Source organism: Homo sapiens, chromosome 2 (genome assembly GCF_000001405.40).
Source record: "Homo sapiens chromosome 2, GRCh38.p14 Primary Assembly".
NCBI classification, from domain to species: Eukaryota; Metazoa; Chordata; class Mammalia; order Primates; family Hominidae; genus Homo; species Homo sapiens.
In genome coordinates this window covers 170,790,909-170,808,364 of record NC_000002.12, presented here as the reverse complement: position 1 = coordinate 170,808,364, position 17,456 = coordinate 170,790,909, and the positions used below count along the sequence as shown (strand labels likewise).

General features: G+C 39.4%; 1 protein-coding gene across 11 annotated transcripts in view; it reads right to left on the bottom strand.

Annotated features, from left to right (window-relative positions):
- Positions 9,388-17,456, bottom strand: part of ERICH2 (glutamate rich 2) — a 28,600-nt gene continuing 20,531 nt past the window's right edge. For all 11 annotated transcript variants that reach the window (NM_001388469.1, NM_001290030.2, NM_001388471.1 and 8 more), the window contains 3 exons: positions 15,445-15,502; positions 10,253-10,324; positions 9,388-9,595 (listed from right to left, as the gene is read on the bottom strand). In NM_001388469.1, coding sequence (NP_001375398.1) covers positions 9,471-9,595; positions 10,253-10,324; positions 15,445-15,502 — 255 coding nt within the window. In that variant the 3' untranslated portion in view covers positions 9,388-9,470. The remainder of the gene's footprint in view (positions 9,596-10,252; positions 10,325-15,444; positions 15,503-17,456) is intronic.

Here is a 17,456-nt window from a genome sequence, read left to right as displayed (position 1 = left end):
AGCTGAGATGACTCCATTGCACTTCACCCTGGGCAACACAGCAAGACTCCATCTCAAAAAAAAAAAAAAAAAAAAAAACAACACTCTGCTCCCAACTTTATTTGGGTTCTTCTGATGCCAATTGGAAGAAACTGAATTTGATGCATGTTTTGATGGGAAAGAGATTTTCCTCTTAACATATTATCCAGTGGTAGGCATGGAACTGTGAAATCTATCATCTTAAAGAATAGTCACTTTCAAGCAAGTCCTTTTACAGAAGAACATTTTAGAACTTTATTAGAGATGAAGATACATTAGGGACCTGAGAGCATGGGACACCAAAAGCCTTGTTACAAAATAGCTGAAGTATTAAAAAGCGGGGAGAGGAGTTTATGAAAATTCAGTATTAAAATATATGTTGTTGTGCAGCAACAGGAACTACATAATAAATCCTAAGAAAACAGGGACTTTGGGGGCTATTTGTGATGGATTGCAATTAACCCTGCTTAAATATCCAATTAGGCATCAGGGTAAGCAATTTGTAAATGTACTAACTGGTTAATATTTTATGAAAATCAGCAAATTTCTATCTCAGGTGACTTTTTTTTTTCCTGTACTTAATGAACTATTTATTGGCTTATTTATTAGTATTTATCCTCATTAAAAGCTTCCATCACACCAGAAAGGATACTAAGGCCTGCTAAAACACCTCACATAGTTGGCACTCCATGAATGTTGATTTCCTTCCTCATGTTCACTTTTCTGATTCTAAGGTCAATTTTACCTTAATTCTCTTTTGAAGTTTTTTTCTTTTGAAAAAATGTACATCTTTTTTCTTTTAACGTTATATATGATTGCTAAAGAAAGCTTATGACTTTAGAATGATGAAAAAGGAAATAACCTCATTACACAAACACTACGATGGTTAGCATTTTCAGTAACCCCCCCCAATCCCATATTTTCCCCTACCCCATGTATAGGCTTAATTTAAAAGGTTTTAGCCTCCAACAGATATTTGTACACCTGTGTTCATAGCAGCATTATGCACCATAACCAAAAGGTGAAAGCCACCCAAATGTCCATCAGTGGATGAATAGATGAACAAAAGGTGGCATATGCATACAGTGGAATATTATTTAGCAGTAAAAGGAATAAAGTATTGACATATGCTATGACATGCATGAACCTTGAAGACTTTATGCTAAGTGAAATAAGCCAGTCACAAAATGACATATATGATTCCTTTTATACGCAGTACCTAGAGTAGTCAAATTCATCAAAGCAAAAAGTAGAATGGTGGCTAGTGGGAGTGGGAAATGAGGAGTTATTGTTTAATGAGGACAGAGTTTCAGTTGGGAAGATGAAGCAGTTTCTGAGATGGGTGCTGGTGATGGTTACACAGCAATGTAAATGTGCGTAATACCACTGAAGTATACACTTGAAAATGCTTAAAATGATAAATTGCATGCTGTGTATGGTTTACAATAAAAAAGCTTTTAGTTATAAAAGTGATACATGCCCATGATTTTAAAATTTTAAGGGAATAAATAAAAGGTGTAAAATGAAAAGTACAACTTTTCTTACTTACCTCCCCTCAATTGCACAACCCAGAGATAACCATCGTAACAAGTTTCATGTTTCTGCTTTTCCTGACTGACAGAAGGACCCACCAATTCCTCTTCCTTGGCTTTGAGTGGCCATGAACCCTTGGGGAACTGAGGGTAACCTAAGCATCCAGTTTGACTTACACACTCTTAGGAGATGTTATTGGCATTATCATGCTTATTGCGCTGTGGCAGATACATTGGATATACTCTCAGCTACTAGTGATAGAAAATCTGAAGCAAAATGGTTTAAATAGCAAGAAAATGTACTGTCTTACATAGTAAGAAAATGTCTTCAAGGACCGGGTTCCTTTTTCGCTCTGCTCTGCTGTCCTTAGCTTTGGCTTCAGCATAAGGCCTACTCCTGGTTCTAAGATGGCTGCCAGCAGCCATGAGGGCTCCATTCCTTCTTGTTAATATCCAACTCCTGCTGATGTTTTATCAGCTGAAATTGGTGTAGTTCTGCCCATGCCTAGCAATAACTAGTAGCAAAGGGGATAGGATTACCATGATTAGATTTATCATCTGGGGTGGAATGGACATAGGGGGAACCAACCACGATATGTGTCATAAGTTGTCTCTTTGTTCAGAAGGGTACATTTTGAACAGGCTATGCAAGCCAATCTCTTCTCCCAGTGCTTTACTTCCCAGGCTCCTCCAAGCTCTGTACGCTCCCCCTGCTCCATTATAACTCATATCTTATGAGGACTGGGGGGCTTATTAGGAGAGACAGTCAGAAAGACCGTTGTACTCCTTAGTCTGGCCTTGGAGGCCTTATCTTACCTGCCTCTTATGAACTCTCAAGACCTCATGGCATAGGACTTTTGCCCCAAACCCCACAGCGTTTCCAATGGCCCTAGGCTTGACTTCACATCTGGTACCATGAGCTCTGTTCACGTGCTCCCCCTTGACCAACATCAATATTTCAGGCAAATACCAAAATTACATCTATCTTACATGTCCACCAGGATCAAGCTAAAGGGAAATAAACATTGTAATTAAAGTAAATGCAGGCTGGGCATGGTGACTCACACCTATAATCCTAACACTTTGGGAGGCTGAGGTGGGAGGAATCCCTCGAGGCCAGGAATTATAGACCAGCCTGGGACCATAGCAAGACCCAGTCTCTACAAAATATTAAAAAATTAGCCAGGGATGGTGGTATGCGCCTGTAGTCCCAGCTGCTTGGGAGGCTGAGGTGGGAAGATCACTTGAGCCCAGGAGTTTGAGGCTGCAGTGAGCCATGTTTATGCCACTGCACACCAGCCTAGGCAACAGAGTGAGACCCTGTCTCAATAAATAAATAAAGGCAGGTTATCACCTTTTTTAGTATATAATATAGGGTAATTGAAGGCTATGAAAGGACCAATACTGGAGAAGAGGAGACAGCTCTGATTCCACACTTGGACTGCCGGGGCAGTGGTTCACCTAAACACTGCCATGTATTAGGGTTCTCTTACATGGATCTTCTAAAATATTAGATAAATGCCTTGTAAGTTATCCCTTTTTCCAATCTGTTCCTCTCTACTGGCCTCTTAGGGAGGAAGCCATAGCGTGAAGGGCAGGGTATTAGAATAAAATGACCTGGACTTGAATCTGCCAGTTCCCAAGTATGTGATCTTTAGAAAGTTACTTTCAGCATCTCTACACCTCGCTTTCTTCGTATGTAAATTGGGAATAATAATGTCTATCCCATACAGGTGTTATGAGGATTAAAAACATTAACATATGAATGCTTAGTATAGTGCCTAACACATAACAGGCTATCAGTAGCTGTTATTATCATCCATCCTATTAAACAGGCTCAGGCTCATCTATTTTTTTTTTTTTTTTTTGTGACAGTCTCCCAGGCTGGAGTGCAGTGGCGCAATCAGATCCTGGCTCACTGGCGGCCTCAAACTCCCAGGCTCAGGCGGTCCTCCTGCCTCAGCTTCCCAGGTAGCTAAGACTACAGGCGTGTGTCACCACTCTCAGCTAATTTTTATATGTTTTATAGAGATGTTTTTTGCCATGTTGGCCAGGCCGGTAAACATGCTCATCTTAAATGTTTTACAAATAATACTGCACTTACCTTATGTCTTCCAATGATACTTCATCTGTTTTCTTTCCTCGTTTTCCTTTTCCTCACCTCCAATGCACTCAAATTCACTGAAATACGGCACCCCCAATTCACACTCAACTGACACAGCTTTTCCTAATATCACCAACCACCTCTTTGTTGCTATCCCATTACCCTTTTAGTTCTTATCTTACTTGTCTTCTCTGCAACTTTTTGCAAAGCAGGTTTTTACAGGCTCCTTGAAACTCTTTTTCTGGGTTTCTGTGGTGCTGCTCAATATCAGTTAGGAGGCTTTTGGCAGCAGGTAAAAGAAACCTTGATCCAACTGGCTTGAACAATAAGAAAGTTTATCTCATAACATAAACTCAGAGTGGTGGCTCCCAGGCCCGTCGACTCAGCGGCTGAGCATTAGCAGGGACCTAGGTTCTTTTTGTTCTTCCATCCACAGCATCAGCTTCTTCCTAAGATTAGCTTCTCTCGTGATCATGAGATGACTGCCAGCAGAAACTAGGGCAGCATGCTTCCTGGTTCTTAACCAGAAGAATGGAGGAACATCTCCTCCCAATCATGAAATAAAGTCCTCGATCTTTTTAGAAGAAGTAGGTCACATGTCCATCTCTGGAACAATAACAGTCACCAGAGAAATGCCAGGGACTGGTTGGCTGAGTCTCGTGGCTATGGATGTGGGGAGCGAATATCTGAACAGAGTCGGGACTGTCTTTGCTCTTTGCAAAGAAAGGGAAAAGGATAGTTGCTGAGTAGGAAACCAACAGTGCCCACTATATTTGCTTTCCCAATTTTCCTCTTGGTTGTTCCTTCTCAGTCTATTATGTGCACTTCTCTTTCATGGACTACCACTTAAATGTTGGTGATCATTATAATTCTATCCCTGGTCCTCTCCTATTTGGACTACACTCTCTCCATGGGTCCTTCATTCTGTTTATTTGACTACTATCTCTAAGTGATGACTACTAATAAAGGTATATTTCCCGCCCAAGTGTCTTTTTTAAGCTTCATACCATGAAAACTAGTTAACACTTACCCAATACTTCCTGAGTTAGGCAGAATAATGCACCCCTCTTCTCCCAAGATGTCTACATCTTAATACCCAGAAACTGCAAATATGTTAGATTACATAGCAATGGGGCATTGAGATTGCTGACGGAGTTAACCTTGCTGATTAGCTGACTTTAAGATAGGGAGACTATCTTGGATTATCCAGATGGACCCAAGGTAATCACAAGCATCTTTAAAAGCAGAAGAAAAAGTCAGGAGAGAGAATAGAGAGATGGCAGCATGACAAGGGCTTGGCCAGACATTCCTGGCTTTGAAGGTGGAAAGATGGGGCCAAGGAATATGCGTGGGGTCTGGAAGCTGGAAAAGGCAAGGAAATGGATTATCTCCTAGAGCCTCCAGAAGGAATGCAGCCTTGCTGACACCTTGCTTTTGGCCCAGTGAGACCCATTTTGGACTTAGAACCTCCAGAACTATAAGATCATAAAGTTGTGTTGTTTTAAGCCACGAAGTTTGTGGTAACTTTTTATAGCAGCAATAGGAAACTAATACATTTCCCATAGTCAACTTGTGCAAGTGAACCTCCATCTTCTTCAACAAAGCTGCTTTCCTGTGTTCCTGTCTTTAGGGGCTGGCATCACCATATACCTTGTCCTCCCACTAAGAGTCATTCTTGACCTCTACCTCTTTACCACATTTACTTTATCCCCAATTCCTGCCAATTCTTTCTACCTCTAGAGTAACCCCTCCATTCCATTACATCTCCCTGCTACTGTCTCTTTTCAGGTTACAATTTTGAACTGCTAGAGTCTGTATTCAACTCTAGTCTGTTCTCTAAGCTTTCAAATTTTATTTTTCATCGAGATCCACAGGAAGAAATACATTTCACTTCAAGGTCTAGGGAATACACACTCCTGAAACAAAAGTTTCATAAAACAATGCTTGCCATACTCTTTTGCAGTATATGCTGATAGTTTCTATTCTATGTATTTAACTTTGTAAAACCCCCAGGTATTTGTGATTTACTGCAATGATTTCATAACTGACCAATGGATCGTAATGTGTAGTTTAAGAAGACATCTTTTTTACCTACCAGAATGCTCTTTCTAAAATACAATTATTTTCCTTAAAAGCATTCAATGCCTCCATTACTCTAAGGATAAAGTTCAAACTCTAACATGGCTTCTAAGACCCCCCATCACCCAGTTCTTTTATCACTGTAGCTTCGTCTTTCTCCACTCTAAATGGTTCATTTTATAATCCAACCTTACCTGCTTAACTTTCTGATATCAGATTGTGTCTCTGCGCCTTTGCAAGTTGTGTTACTCTGCTCAGACTGTCTTCTAGACACCCTTTTCTTACAGCTAATTCCCACTTCCTCTACCTTCTTAGCTTAGACTTCACTTCTCTCTAAATGCTTTTCCTGGATGCCTAGACTGTCTCTCCTGCCCTCCCACATTCTCCCTTAGTGCCCAGGACCCACACAATGGCAGTGTTTATCTCCCTGTATTTAACAACAATGCTGTTGAAGAGCAGAGACTGGGTTTTGTTCCCTCCAGAATACCTAGAAGGCCTTCAGTAAATACTTATTGAGGCCGGGTGTGGTGGCTCATGCCTATAATCCCAGCACTTTGGGAGGCCAAGACGAGCAAATCACCTGAAGTCAGGAGTTCGAGACCAGCCTGGTCAACATGGCGAAACCCCTGTCTCTACTAAAAATACAAAAATTAGCCGGGTGTGGTGGCGGGCACCTGTAGTCCCAGCTACTCGGGAGGCTGAGACAGGAGAATCATTTGAACTCGGGAGGTGGAGGTTGCAGTGAGCCAAGATCGCACCATTGCACTCCAGCCTGGGCAACAAGAGTGAAACTCCGTCTCAAAACAAACAAACAAAAACAAACAAACAAACCTTATTGAATACATGAAACTTTTTCAGTGGGTTCCCCTCTGAAGTCTATTGAGTAGGCATTCTTACATATTCTCATATTGTTGGATATTTGGGTTCATTAACATCATTACAATGTGTTGTAAAGTTATTGAAGAAGGCACAGGTCTGGAACTGAACTGTCTACACAGATATAACTCATTGGCAGACTTATTAAATAGTTCCTAGATGCTAGCTCTGTGTGAGGTAACAAAGAACATTGGGTTTAAGGTTCACAAAATCTCTCATACTGGGACATAACCAAGCATCTCTAAGTTTCAGTTTCCTCATCTGAATTCCAACATCCCAGCCAATATTTAACCTTAGATTCCTCAATTATGTCAAATTCAGTTTGTGTAATTGATGGGGATAATAGCATGCTCTTCAGATGACTGTGAGAAGCAAGTAGGTTAAATAATGTAAACAATAATTTGCAGATTTTTTAAGCTATTATTACTACATACCTATTATACACACGTGCCTATTGTCAGGTCATGCCAACACCTTACCATTTCATTCATTAGTGAGGGCTAGTAGGATGAAGAGTATGGACAGGGGGTACTGATGATCCTGAATGAACAAGCCTCATAAATTCTTAGATTTAGCTATAACATAGCCTGTGATATCATGGCTTTTTATTCGGACAGTTTCTTCCTCAAAGCTTCCCTGTTCCTTTAAAAGACAACTAAAATCTCATTGTAACTTATTTAGTCTTCAATGTCAGCTTTAGGGTATACTATGAACTTCTTATGGAGGGTTCTCCTTAATCAGGTAAGCATCATTAGATTGAGATATGGTGGTTTTCCCATGGTGGAATGAATATTAAACCCAAAAGAAAATGAAAAGAACAGGTAATTCCTGAGATCTGTCAGTCAAACCTCTGATGCTATTTGGTTATTTATGCATGAAGCCCTGAGAGTTTACTGCAGATTTAGAAAGGGTAACTAGAGGATTACACATATCCATCTTCATTTCTTTTGGTCATCCCTATGAATTGGTGCTGCAGATTTTCTTCCTCTGAATGTTAACAGGCCACAATGCCTAAAGAATAAGCAATGCCGCAAACATTTTGGATATGTTGTGACACTGTACTGACATAAGATAAAAATTCAAAATGCTTCCCCTCAAATCGGATTGGCACATTTGTAAACAAATTACTTAGGAATATTTTTCTTTTACCTCAGTTACTGCTTTGGTCTATATGTGGTTTGCCCCCTTCAAAACTCATGCTGGGCTGGGTGCAGTGGCTCACACCTATAATCTCAGGATTTGGGGAAGCTGAGGTGGAAGAATCACTTGGGGCCAGAAATTTGAGACCACTGTGGGCAACACAGCAAGATCCTGTCTCTACAAAAATTGTTTTAAAAAATATTAGCTAGATGTGGTGGCACGTGACTGTATTCCTAGCTACTCAGGAGTCTGAGGCAGAAGGATCACTTGAGCCCAGGAGTTCAAAGTTGCAGTGAGCCATGATCACACCACTACACTCCAGCCTGGGTGATGGAGCAAGACCCTGTCTCAACAACAACATAAAAACAAAACAAAACAAAATTCATGCTGAAATTTGATCCCCAGTATGTCGTGGAGTTGGGAGGTGGGAGGTGTTTGGGTCAGGCGGGTGAGTTGAATCCCTCATGAGTAGATTAATTTGGGGGCCGGGGGTGAGTGAGGTCTTGCTCTCATAGGAATGGATTAGTTCCCATGAGAGTGGGTTTTTAAAAGAGTCTGGCTTCCTTGGTTTCTCTTGCTTCCTCTCTTGCTGTGTGATCTCTTTGCACATGCCTGTTCCCCTTCTACTTTCTGCCATGAGTGGAAACAGCATGAGTCCCTCACCAGATTCAACTGCCCAATCTTCAACTTCCCAGCCTGCAGAACCGTAAGCTAAATAAACCTCTTTTCTTTATAAATTACCGAGCCTCAGGTATTTTCTTATAGTAACAAAAAACAGACTAAGACAGTTACCTTACAACCTAATTTGAAAGTGGCAGAAATCCAGCAAGAACTACAGAATCAGCACAATAAAATAGATGGGTACGTAAGAAGTATAAGTCTTGTAAATGTTTTATGAAAGAATATAAATATTTCCACTAACTTTCACTTCATTTGTTCATTAATTTGGTATATGTGTTCTATTATTTGCCAGGTACTTGTCCAGTTGCTGGGATATTATGAGGAAAATGATAAAGTTCTGCTTCATGGGTGTTACATTCTCTGGCAGGTAGGGAGAAGATGAAATGAACAATTAAACAAGCATTTCAGACACTGATACATGCTGTAAAGAACATACAATGAATGGGCTGGGCACAGTGGCTCACGCCTGTAATCCCAGAACTTTGGGAGGCCAAGATGGGGGGATCACTTGAGGCCAGGAGTTTGAGACCAGCCTGGTTGATGTGGCAAGATCCCATTATCTAGACAAACAAACAAATGATGAATGATATAAAAGTGCCTGAAATGGTGGTAATTTATAGGGAACTAAACATATGAATTCTGGGGCAATAATGTCCATGCACAAATCCAGGCTCTACAAACAAATAGGTGTATGATACTGGACAAATTATTCACCCTGTCTGTGCCTCAGTTTTCTCATCTGTAGAATGGCATAATAATAGTACTTAATGGGGTTGTTGAATTATACAATGTGTGTAGAGCAGTTTGAACAGTACCTGGCACACAGTCCTATGTAAGTGTTTTCAACTATTTTCCTCTCTGAGTAACTCATATATTGAGCTAAGGCCTAAATATTAGGAAGAGTCTTAAGCCAAGAATATAGATAACTTAAAAGAAACTGTACCAAATAAGGAAGAATTAGACTAAAATGTCACTTGTCTTTATATTTGCATGGTATACATTAATGAAAATACATGAAGCTTCAAGTATTGCAGCAACACTCATGATCCATCTTCACCTTCGTCAGAGCTCTCGTCACTCAGCTCCTCATCGCTTTCTCCTTTACTCTCACCACTGCTGTCTTCATCACTGTTTTCACCGTCTTGCTCATGATTCTGAGTTTTCTCTGCCACAGAAAGGAAGAGGATTGCTTAAGGTGTTTCTTAATATTTCACTCTGAAAAATAATTCTCCTTGCCCCTCCCTCTACCAAGAAATACATATATTTGTAACATAAGAACTGAGTTGGACTTGGCTAACTGCACTAGGGTCAAATGGTAGTACAAAGAAGAAATGTATTTTTACTGGCATACAGGTGTTTTTGATAATTTAAAACATAAGTCTATAAAAATAATTTTACTATTGTCAATGAAATTCTATTTAACGATTTCATAGAATTCTTTCTATCATAGAATTTTATTGACAATAGTAAAATTGTCCATTGAAAGGAATTGAGACAAGGTAATTGAGAGGGTGTGGCTTCCCTTGGAATTGTGGGTAATTCCTTTAACACGCAGCCGTGTTAGCATATTCTGCTTGTCAATACCTGATGCCTGGTGCCCAGGGAGCCTGCTCTGCTCGGGCAGTTCTATCCCACAGAGAGAAGGGGGTCATTGTGACCATCCACAGAGGACAAGCTGTTTCACTAAACCATTTAAGACAGCCATTTAGCCTTTTCTTAACCACTTCCTAAAGATGTATCGACAATCTCCCGGGATAATGGGTTTTTAAAGTGACTGCTTATAGTTCTATGAGAAACAAGGAATTTCAATTTTTAAAATTACCCATCAGCAACATTTCTTCAATAAGTGTGAAAAACTCCTTGGCCTCAGGATTTTCTGGTTCATAGATTAGGACTGAAAATGAAAATGGACAACAGAATGTGTGTTATTAACGTTCAGTGTTGCAGCAAACAGGCTCCTTAGAATGAAATTGAACTGTCAGTCAGAGCAGGTGAAAGGCACAATGCAATAAACACTAACAATTATACCACAGGTATATCTGAGTACAAATAGAGAAAATTCTGCACTTCTATTTTGCACTTTGGAAGATAAATGATCCTCACTATATTTTCTTTCTTTCTTTTTTTTTTTTTTTTTTTCCCTGAGACAGGGTGTCGCTCTGTTACCCAGACTGGAGTGCAGTGGCATGATCTTGGCTCACTGCAGCCTCTGCCTCCCGGGTTCAAGTGATTCTCGTGCCTCAGTTTCCTGAGTAGCTACAGGTGTGTGCCACCACGCCTGGCTAAGTTTTGTATTTTTGGTAGAGACAGGGTTTCACCATGTTGCCCAGGCTAGTCTCAAACTCCTGACCTCAGGTGATCCACCCACCTCGGCCTCCCAAAGTGCTGGGATTACAGGCATGAGACACTGCACCCAGCCCTCATTATATTTTCTACCTCCTATCCATAGAAAGCAATCTCTATCACCTCAATATAGCTTCCCTCATAGGACAGTAGCCAGAGTGTTTCATGAACATAATCATTTCCCAAAGAAGGTACAAATTCTGCAAAATATGGAGACTTTGCTAATGAGAAGACTGTGTGCCTAGAGGTCTGTTAATCCTTCATCTCATGTCATCCACCCATCTACATGACATCCTTTACTAAAGGTCTCATCGGAACACAGAGGAAGTTTTTGTTTGTTTGTTTTTAATGCAACCTCTTCCATGCTAGAGATGCCATTTTGTTACATCTTTCCAATAGGGGAACTGATGTTACTTCTTTCTCTTCATCTTGACAACTTTTACTGTAGTCTACACGTTGGTCATTGCCTGCTTAACAACATTCTCCACCTTCATTGGACCCATTGTTTTCAGTACTATTTATTCCTTTCTGCTGATCCTTTATGTCACTGTGTCACCTTTCTTTTGGACCACAACAATAGACTTTTTTAGGCTTGTTAGTATGTTAGCAAAATCCTAGAGGCCAGAAAGATTTATACCCTTAGTTTCAGAGTTGTCTAGACTATTTTATTCACTTTTTTAGATCTCGCTCCACAGATCTCTCTCTACTTCTTCCTACCAGCCTTGAGGAGTATTCATAATTTTGCATCATCCGTTTAATATTGTGACTCCTGCTCAATATCTTGGTGGCCTCCAAGGGGGGCACTGAAACATCAAGTGTGCTCTTCATCTGGCTAAAAGTAAGACACAATTGTGAGGCTGGGCATGGTGGCTCACACTTGTAATCCCAGCACTTTGGGAGGCTGAGGCAGGTGGATCATTTGAGCTCAGGAGTTCAAGACCAGCCTTCGCAACCTGCTGAAACCCTGTCTCTACAAAAAAATACAAAAATTAGCTGGGCGTGGTAACACGTGCTTGTAGTCCCAGCTCCTTCGGAGGCCGAGGCAGGAGGATGACATGAACCTAGGAGATGGAGGTTGCAGTGGGTTGAAATCGTGCCACTGCATCCCAGCCTAAGTGACTGAGGGAGACGCTGTCTCAAAAAAAAAAAAACAAAAAAAAAAACAAAGAGAGAGAGAGAGATAACCATTGTGGATTGTTCAATTAGACCCCATTGGCTCATAGGATCCCACCCATGGCTTTCATCTTGATACACAAAAAAGGGACTTTATTTCCTAATCTACTAACATAACTAACAATTTGTCATCAATCTGGGTTAGCATGACTGCGTGCCTGCTTAGAAGCTGCTTTTAAGGATCCTGTAAGTATTTTATGTATCATTATACATACCCATAAGGTTTCTGAGCAAAGTAATTTTTTGCACATTTTACCTTGGACTAAAATATGCTTATCATTAATAGTCTAAATCTCTGAGGCTAAGCTTCTTTCCAGAAGAGGGTTTCTCCAGCTTGCTTCTTTAGATACTAGTTTCTTTAAAAGTATACTGTAGGCTAATAGGAAAGAGTGAGTTATTTTATTCAAAAATAAATAGAAGATTTTGTAGGAACTATATTTTTGGAAGATACAGTATATCTGTATTTGCATTAGACATATAATGGCATGAAGTATTTTGGTTTTTGAGCCATTATTCTTTAACATTTACAACTGATGATTTATTAAATAAATCTTCCGGACCTCCATGTATTATGTAGAGAATCTCAGGCTGCCTGGGAGCAGAAGTGTGGTACCCTAAAGAGACTGAGCTGCAGGCTTTTGACTTACAGGTGAAGTGACCAAAAAATAGGAAGATTGATTGGCACCAAATCTCATAGTCACTCATGAGATGAATGGAGAAACGTAAAGTACTTTGGACTCTTGACTTTCAGTTCCATTTAAAAACCACTTTTGGACAGGTGCAGTGGCTGATGCCTGTAATCCCAACACTTCGGGAGGCTGAGGTGGAAGGATCCTTGAGCCCAGGAGTTTGAGACCAACCTGGGCAATGTGGTGAAACCCCGCCTCTACAAAAAATACAAAAATTACCTGGGCATGGTTTTACGTGTCCACAGTCCCAGCTACTTGAGAGGCCGAGGTGGTAGGATCCCTTGAGCATGGGAGTTCAAGGCTGAAGTGAGCTGTGATCACACCACTGCACTCCAGCCTGGGTGACAGAGTGAGACCGTGCCTCAAAAATAGTAATAATAATACTTCAGTGTTTTTATAAAAATAGAGAATTGAACATGATTCTATCAGGATTCCTTCTAATTTGAAATTCTGGCTGGATGCAGTGACTCTCATCTGTAATCCCATTGCTTTGGGAGGCCATGGCAGACAGATCACTTGAGCCTAGCAGTTCAAGACCAGCCTGGAGAATATGGCAAAACTCATCTCTACAAAAAATACAAAAATTAGTGGGTGTGGTGGTACACACCTGTAGTCCCAGCTACTAGGGAGGCTGAGGTGGGAGGATTGCCTGAGCTGGGAGATTGAGACTGCAGTGGCTGACATTGTGCCACTGCACTCCAGCCTGGGTGACAAAGCAAGACCCTGTCTCAAAAAAAATTCTATATTTGTGGGTCACCAAAAATAAGTTTGACTAAAATATTTTATTCAATGGCTCTAAAGGTCAAAAGTGCTTGAAAGGATTATTTACCTCAGATACAAGATAGGAAGTGTTGAAGTATTCAAGAAACCAATTTGTAAAATGAGCCAATGATCTAGAAGTACTCTATCCACAGTTGGGACTCTTGTGAGGCAAGCCAGGGCAGACCGTCACTCAATCCTTGTGCTACATTTTCACTTAAGGACTTTACTGTAAGAATGAATTTAAGTTTAACACTGCTTAATATTTTGAGTCTTGTTGTCAACAAGTTTAATTGTAGAGTTGCTATTTTCTCTTTTTTAACGTATTATCACTAATATGTTAGAAGAAAAAGATGCATAAAATAGTTGAAAAGATGATAGAGTTCAACAAAGAACCAGAATCTTTCCAGATCATTAAATGGAAATTCTAAAATTGGAAAAGACAACCTTGGACTCACTAAATAGTTTTAACAGCATATTGGATACAGCAGAAGATAGAATAAAGAAACCAAAAACAGGTAGATAGAAAATATTAAAACTGACACATAGAAATAAAAGAAAGAGAGCCAGGTGCTATGGCTCACCCTGTAATCCCAGCACTTTGGGAGGCTGAGGCAGGAGAATCACTTGAGGCCAAGAGTTCGAGACCAGCCTGGCCAACATGGTAAAACCCCCATCTCTACTAAAAATACAAAAATTAGCCAGGCATGGTGGCACAAGCCTGTAATCCCAGCTGCTTATGAGGCTGAAGCATAAGAATCACTTGAACTCAGGAGGCAGAGGTTGCAGTGAGCGGAGATTGCACCACTGTACTCTAGCCTCGGTGACAGAGCAAGAACCTGTCAAAAAAAAAAAAAAAAAAAAAGAAAGAAAGGAAAGAGAAGGAAGGAAGGAAGGAAAGAAAGAAAGAAAGGAAGGAAAACAAAACACACTAGAGCTGAGTATAAGATACACATGGGACATCATGAAAAAAAAGTCTAATTTGTGTGTAATTGGAGACCCAGGAAGAGAAGAGAGAGGATAGACTAGAAGTGGTATTTGAAAAGGTAATGGCCAAAAAATTTTCAAAGCTGATAGAAACATCAACCCACAGAGTTAAGAAACTCAGCAAATGCCCTGAACAGTACAACTGCAACAAAAAACCCACAACTATTTTGAACATCAAGTCAAACCATTAAAAACCAAAGATAAAAAGAAAAATAAGGTAGATCATATCATTGCTCTACTCAAAAGCCTCCAGTGGTTTTCCCACCTCAGGGAAAGAACAGAGCCTATGCAATCTGACAACCCCTTGCCTATGACGCCTCTGACTTCATTTCCTATCACACTTCTCCATGCTCATTCTGCTCCAGTTACACTGTCCTCCTCACTATTCCTTTCAGGCACACTCCTGTCATAGCACATTTGCCATTCATCCTCCCTGGCACACTCTGCCTCCAGATATTCATGTGGCTATTCCTCAAGTCTTTCAGTGAGGCCTTCCTGGGCCATCCTATTTAAAACTGCTTTGCCTTCCTCCAGTACCTTCTATTCCTTCTTCCCTACTTTATTTCTCACCATGGCACCTATCATTCATGACACACTATCTGTTTATTGTCTTTCTAACACTAGACACAAATGTGGGATTGTCATCTGTCTGACTGACTATTGTATTTCCAGTGCCTGGAACAGTGGCTGGCATGTGTAGGCACTCAATGTTTGTGGGATAAATGCATGCTCAGTTAAGGTTTGACTGCTGTGTCACCTGACACTTCTTTGAAACTAAAGGTATAAAGTTACTAACCCATCATCATGAGGGTAAAATTTTTGACTTATTTTCCAGTGATGGTAATTAGCCGATGCTAGTTTACATTAATTTATTCCACTAAAATGTACTCTAGAGATCTAAATTAGTACTTATACCAATCAACCTAATTTATTATCAAGGAATCACTGAGACACTATCAGGGAATTCACTAGACCTATGATAATCAAGCCATTTTATATATTACGGAATTCATTTTTGAAAACAAAGAGAAGATTAGAAAATATGAAAGTATTTTGTACTTACTCATCTGACATAATTTTTTTGCCAGCTGGTACTCTCGGGCCATTTCTGCTCTCAGAAACTGGAAAACATTAAATTCTTCAGATAAGTGAATTTAAATGTTGTCAACTCTAAACTCCCTAGAAAATCTTCCATTAATCATTAGTTATTTTGCTTTTAACACTTCCACATGTTTTTCCAGGAGTCAGTCTATAATGAATAGTGAATCAATTAATCAAGGAAATTGAAGTACCTCTGATGGCAAAGCCACATGGGGTAAGGATGATACCTCTGCTTTCCTGCAGCCATACTGTGTATGTACTACTGAACAATTTGAGAATATGTAGGTTGATTCAACTGGCACAGATAGTGAAGACATTAATCACTTTATTTTAATATTCCTTTGGTTCAGATACAGGTTTCATTTGTAACTTAGTCCATAATTATACGACAGTTGAAAAAAATGCAGATTTACAAAATGTACATTTGATATTTTCCAGCATTGCTCTTATATCATCCAGTTTTGTTTTTATTATTTTTATTATACTTTTCTTGTTACAAAATAATACATCTTTTTTTATGTAGGAAATTTAAAAGCTAAATACACACATTCTGTCCCCAATTAAGAAGCACTTAATTTCTACCATCTATGAAAAATAAACACATTTATTTTTAACATCTTCATGTATATTCTTTCAAGTATTATTTTCCATAAATTAACACATATGCATTTACAACATTTAAGATTATTTAGTAACTTAAAAAAAATAAACCATGGATTGTGATCATTTTCTCCTCATGGCATGAAATATTCTTACGTATTTTTTACTTACTTAGGCTACAATTTACTAAACTAATCTTCTATTATAGCTATTTAGACTGCTTCCATTAAAAAAATGCACAAAAAAATCCCCTATACTTTGATGATTGTTCTTGCTTGTGTGTGACACATTCTGAACCACATGCAGGTATATGAGTTTTATTCTGTAAGAGACAGAGGCATATAGTAATATGAAAGAGACCCTTCTCATATACTTCCAGATATTTGATAAATACCCAGACACTGTTTTCAGAAGTAGTTCTCTACCAGTTTTCTCAATTTCTCCCATGGGTTAAAAAAAATTTTATTTCTAATGTAAATATAACTCTTCCGGAGATTTTTCTATAAGTCATTAATTTCATCAAAATTCTCATTCACATACTAATTATTTATTTTATTTTATTTTTATTTTATTTTATTTATTTATTTATTTTTGAGACGGAGTCTCGCTCTGTCGCCCAGGCTGGAGCGCAGTGGCGCGATCTCGGCTCACTGCAAGCTCTGCCTCCCGGGTTCACGCCATTCTCCTGCCTCAGCCTCTGTAGTAGCTGGGACTACAGGCGCCTGCCACCACGCCCGGCTAATTTTTTTTTTTTTAGTAGAGACGGGGTTTCACCATGTTAGCCAGGATGGTCCCGATCTCCTGACCTCGTGATCCGCCCGCCTCGGCCTCACATACTAATTAATATGGATAAATGCATGCTCAGTTAAGGTTTGACTGCTGTACTACCTGACACTTCTCTGAAATTAAAGGTATAAAGTTACTAACCCATCATCATGAGGGTAAAATTTTGACATTATCTTAACCCCCTGCCCATGGTATGTTAAACCTAAACATGGTAGGTTCAACTCATGCAATAGAATTCTTATATTTTCAAAATCTATTCTTGTCTAGGTTAAACATGGTATGGTCTTAAACATGGTATGTTCAACTCATGCAATAGAATTCTTATATTTTTAAAATCTATTCTTGTCTAGGTTAAGACATTTTCATTTTCTTTCCTATTTGTGGTTTTCTTCCATTTTAATTATGATATTTAGTGGTTTATATCTATGTCATCCTTTTTTCAAATATCCAACTCTTGATACATTAATTTGGTTTTTAGTTTGAATTAAAGTTTAATTATTTTTCTTGTTTTATGTTTATTTTATTTTTCTAGTTTCTGGCATTAATATTTAGTTCATTTATTGTCATTCTTTCTTGAATCATCATCAT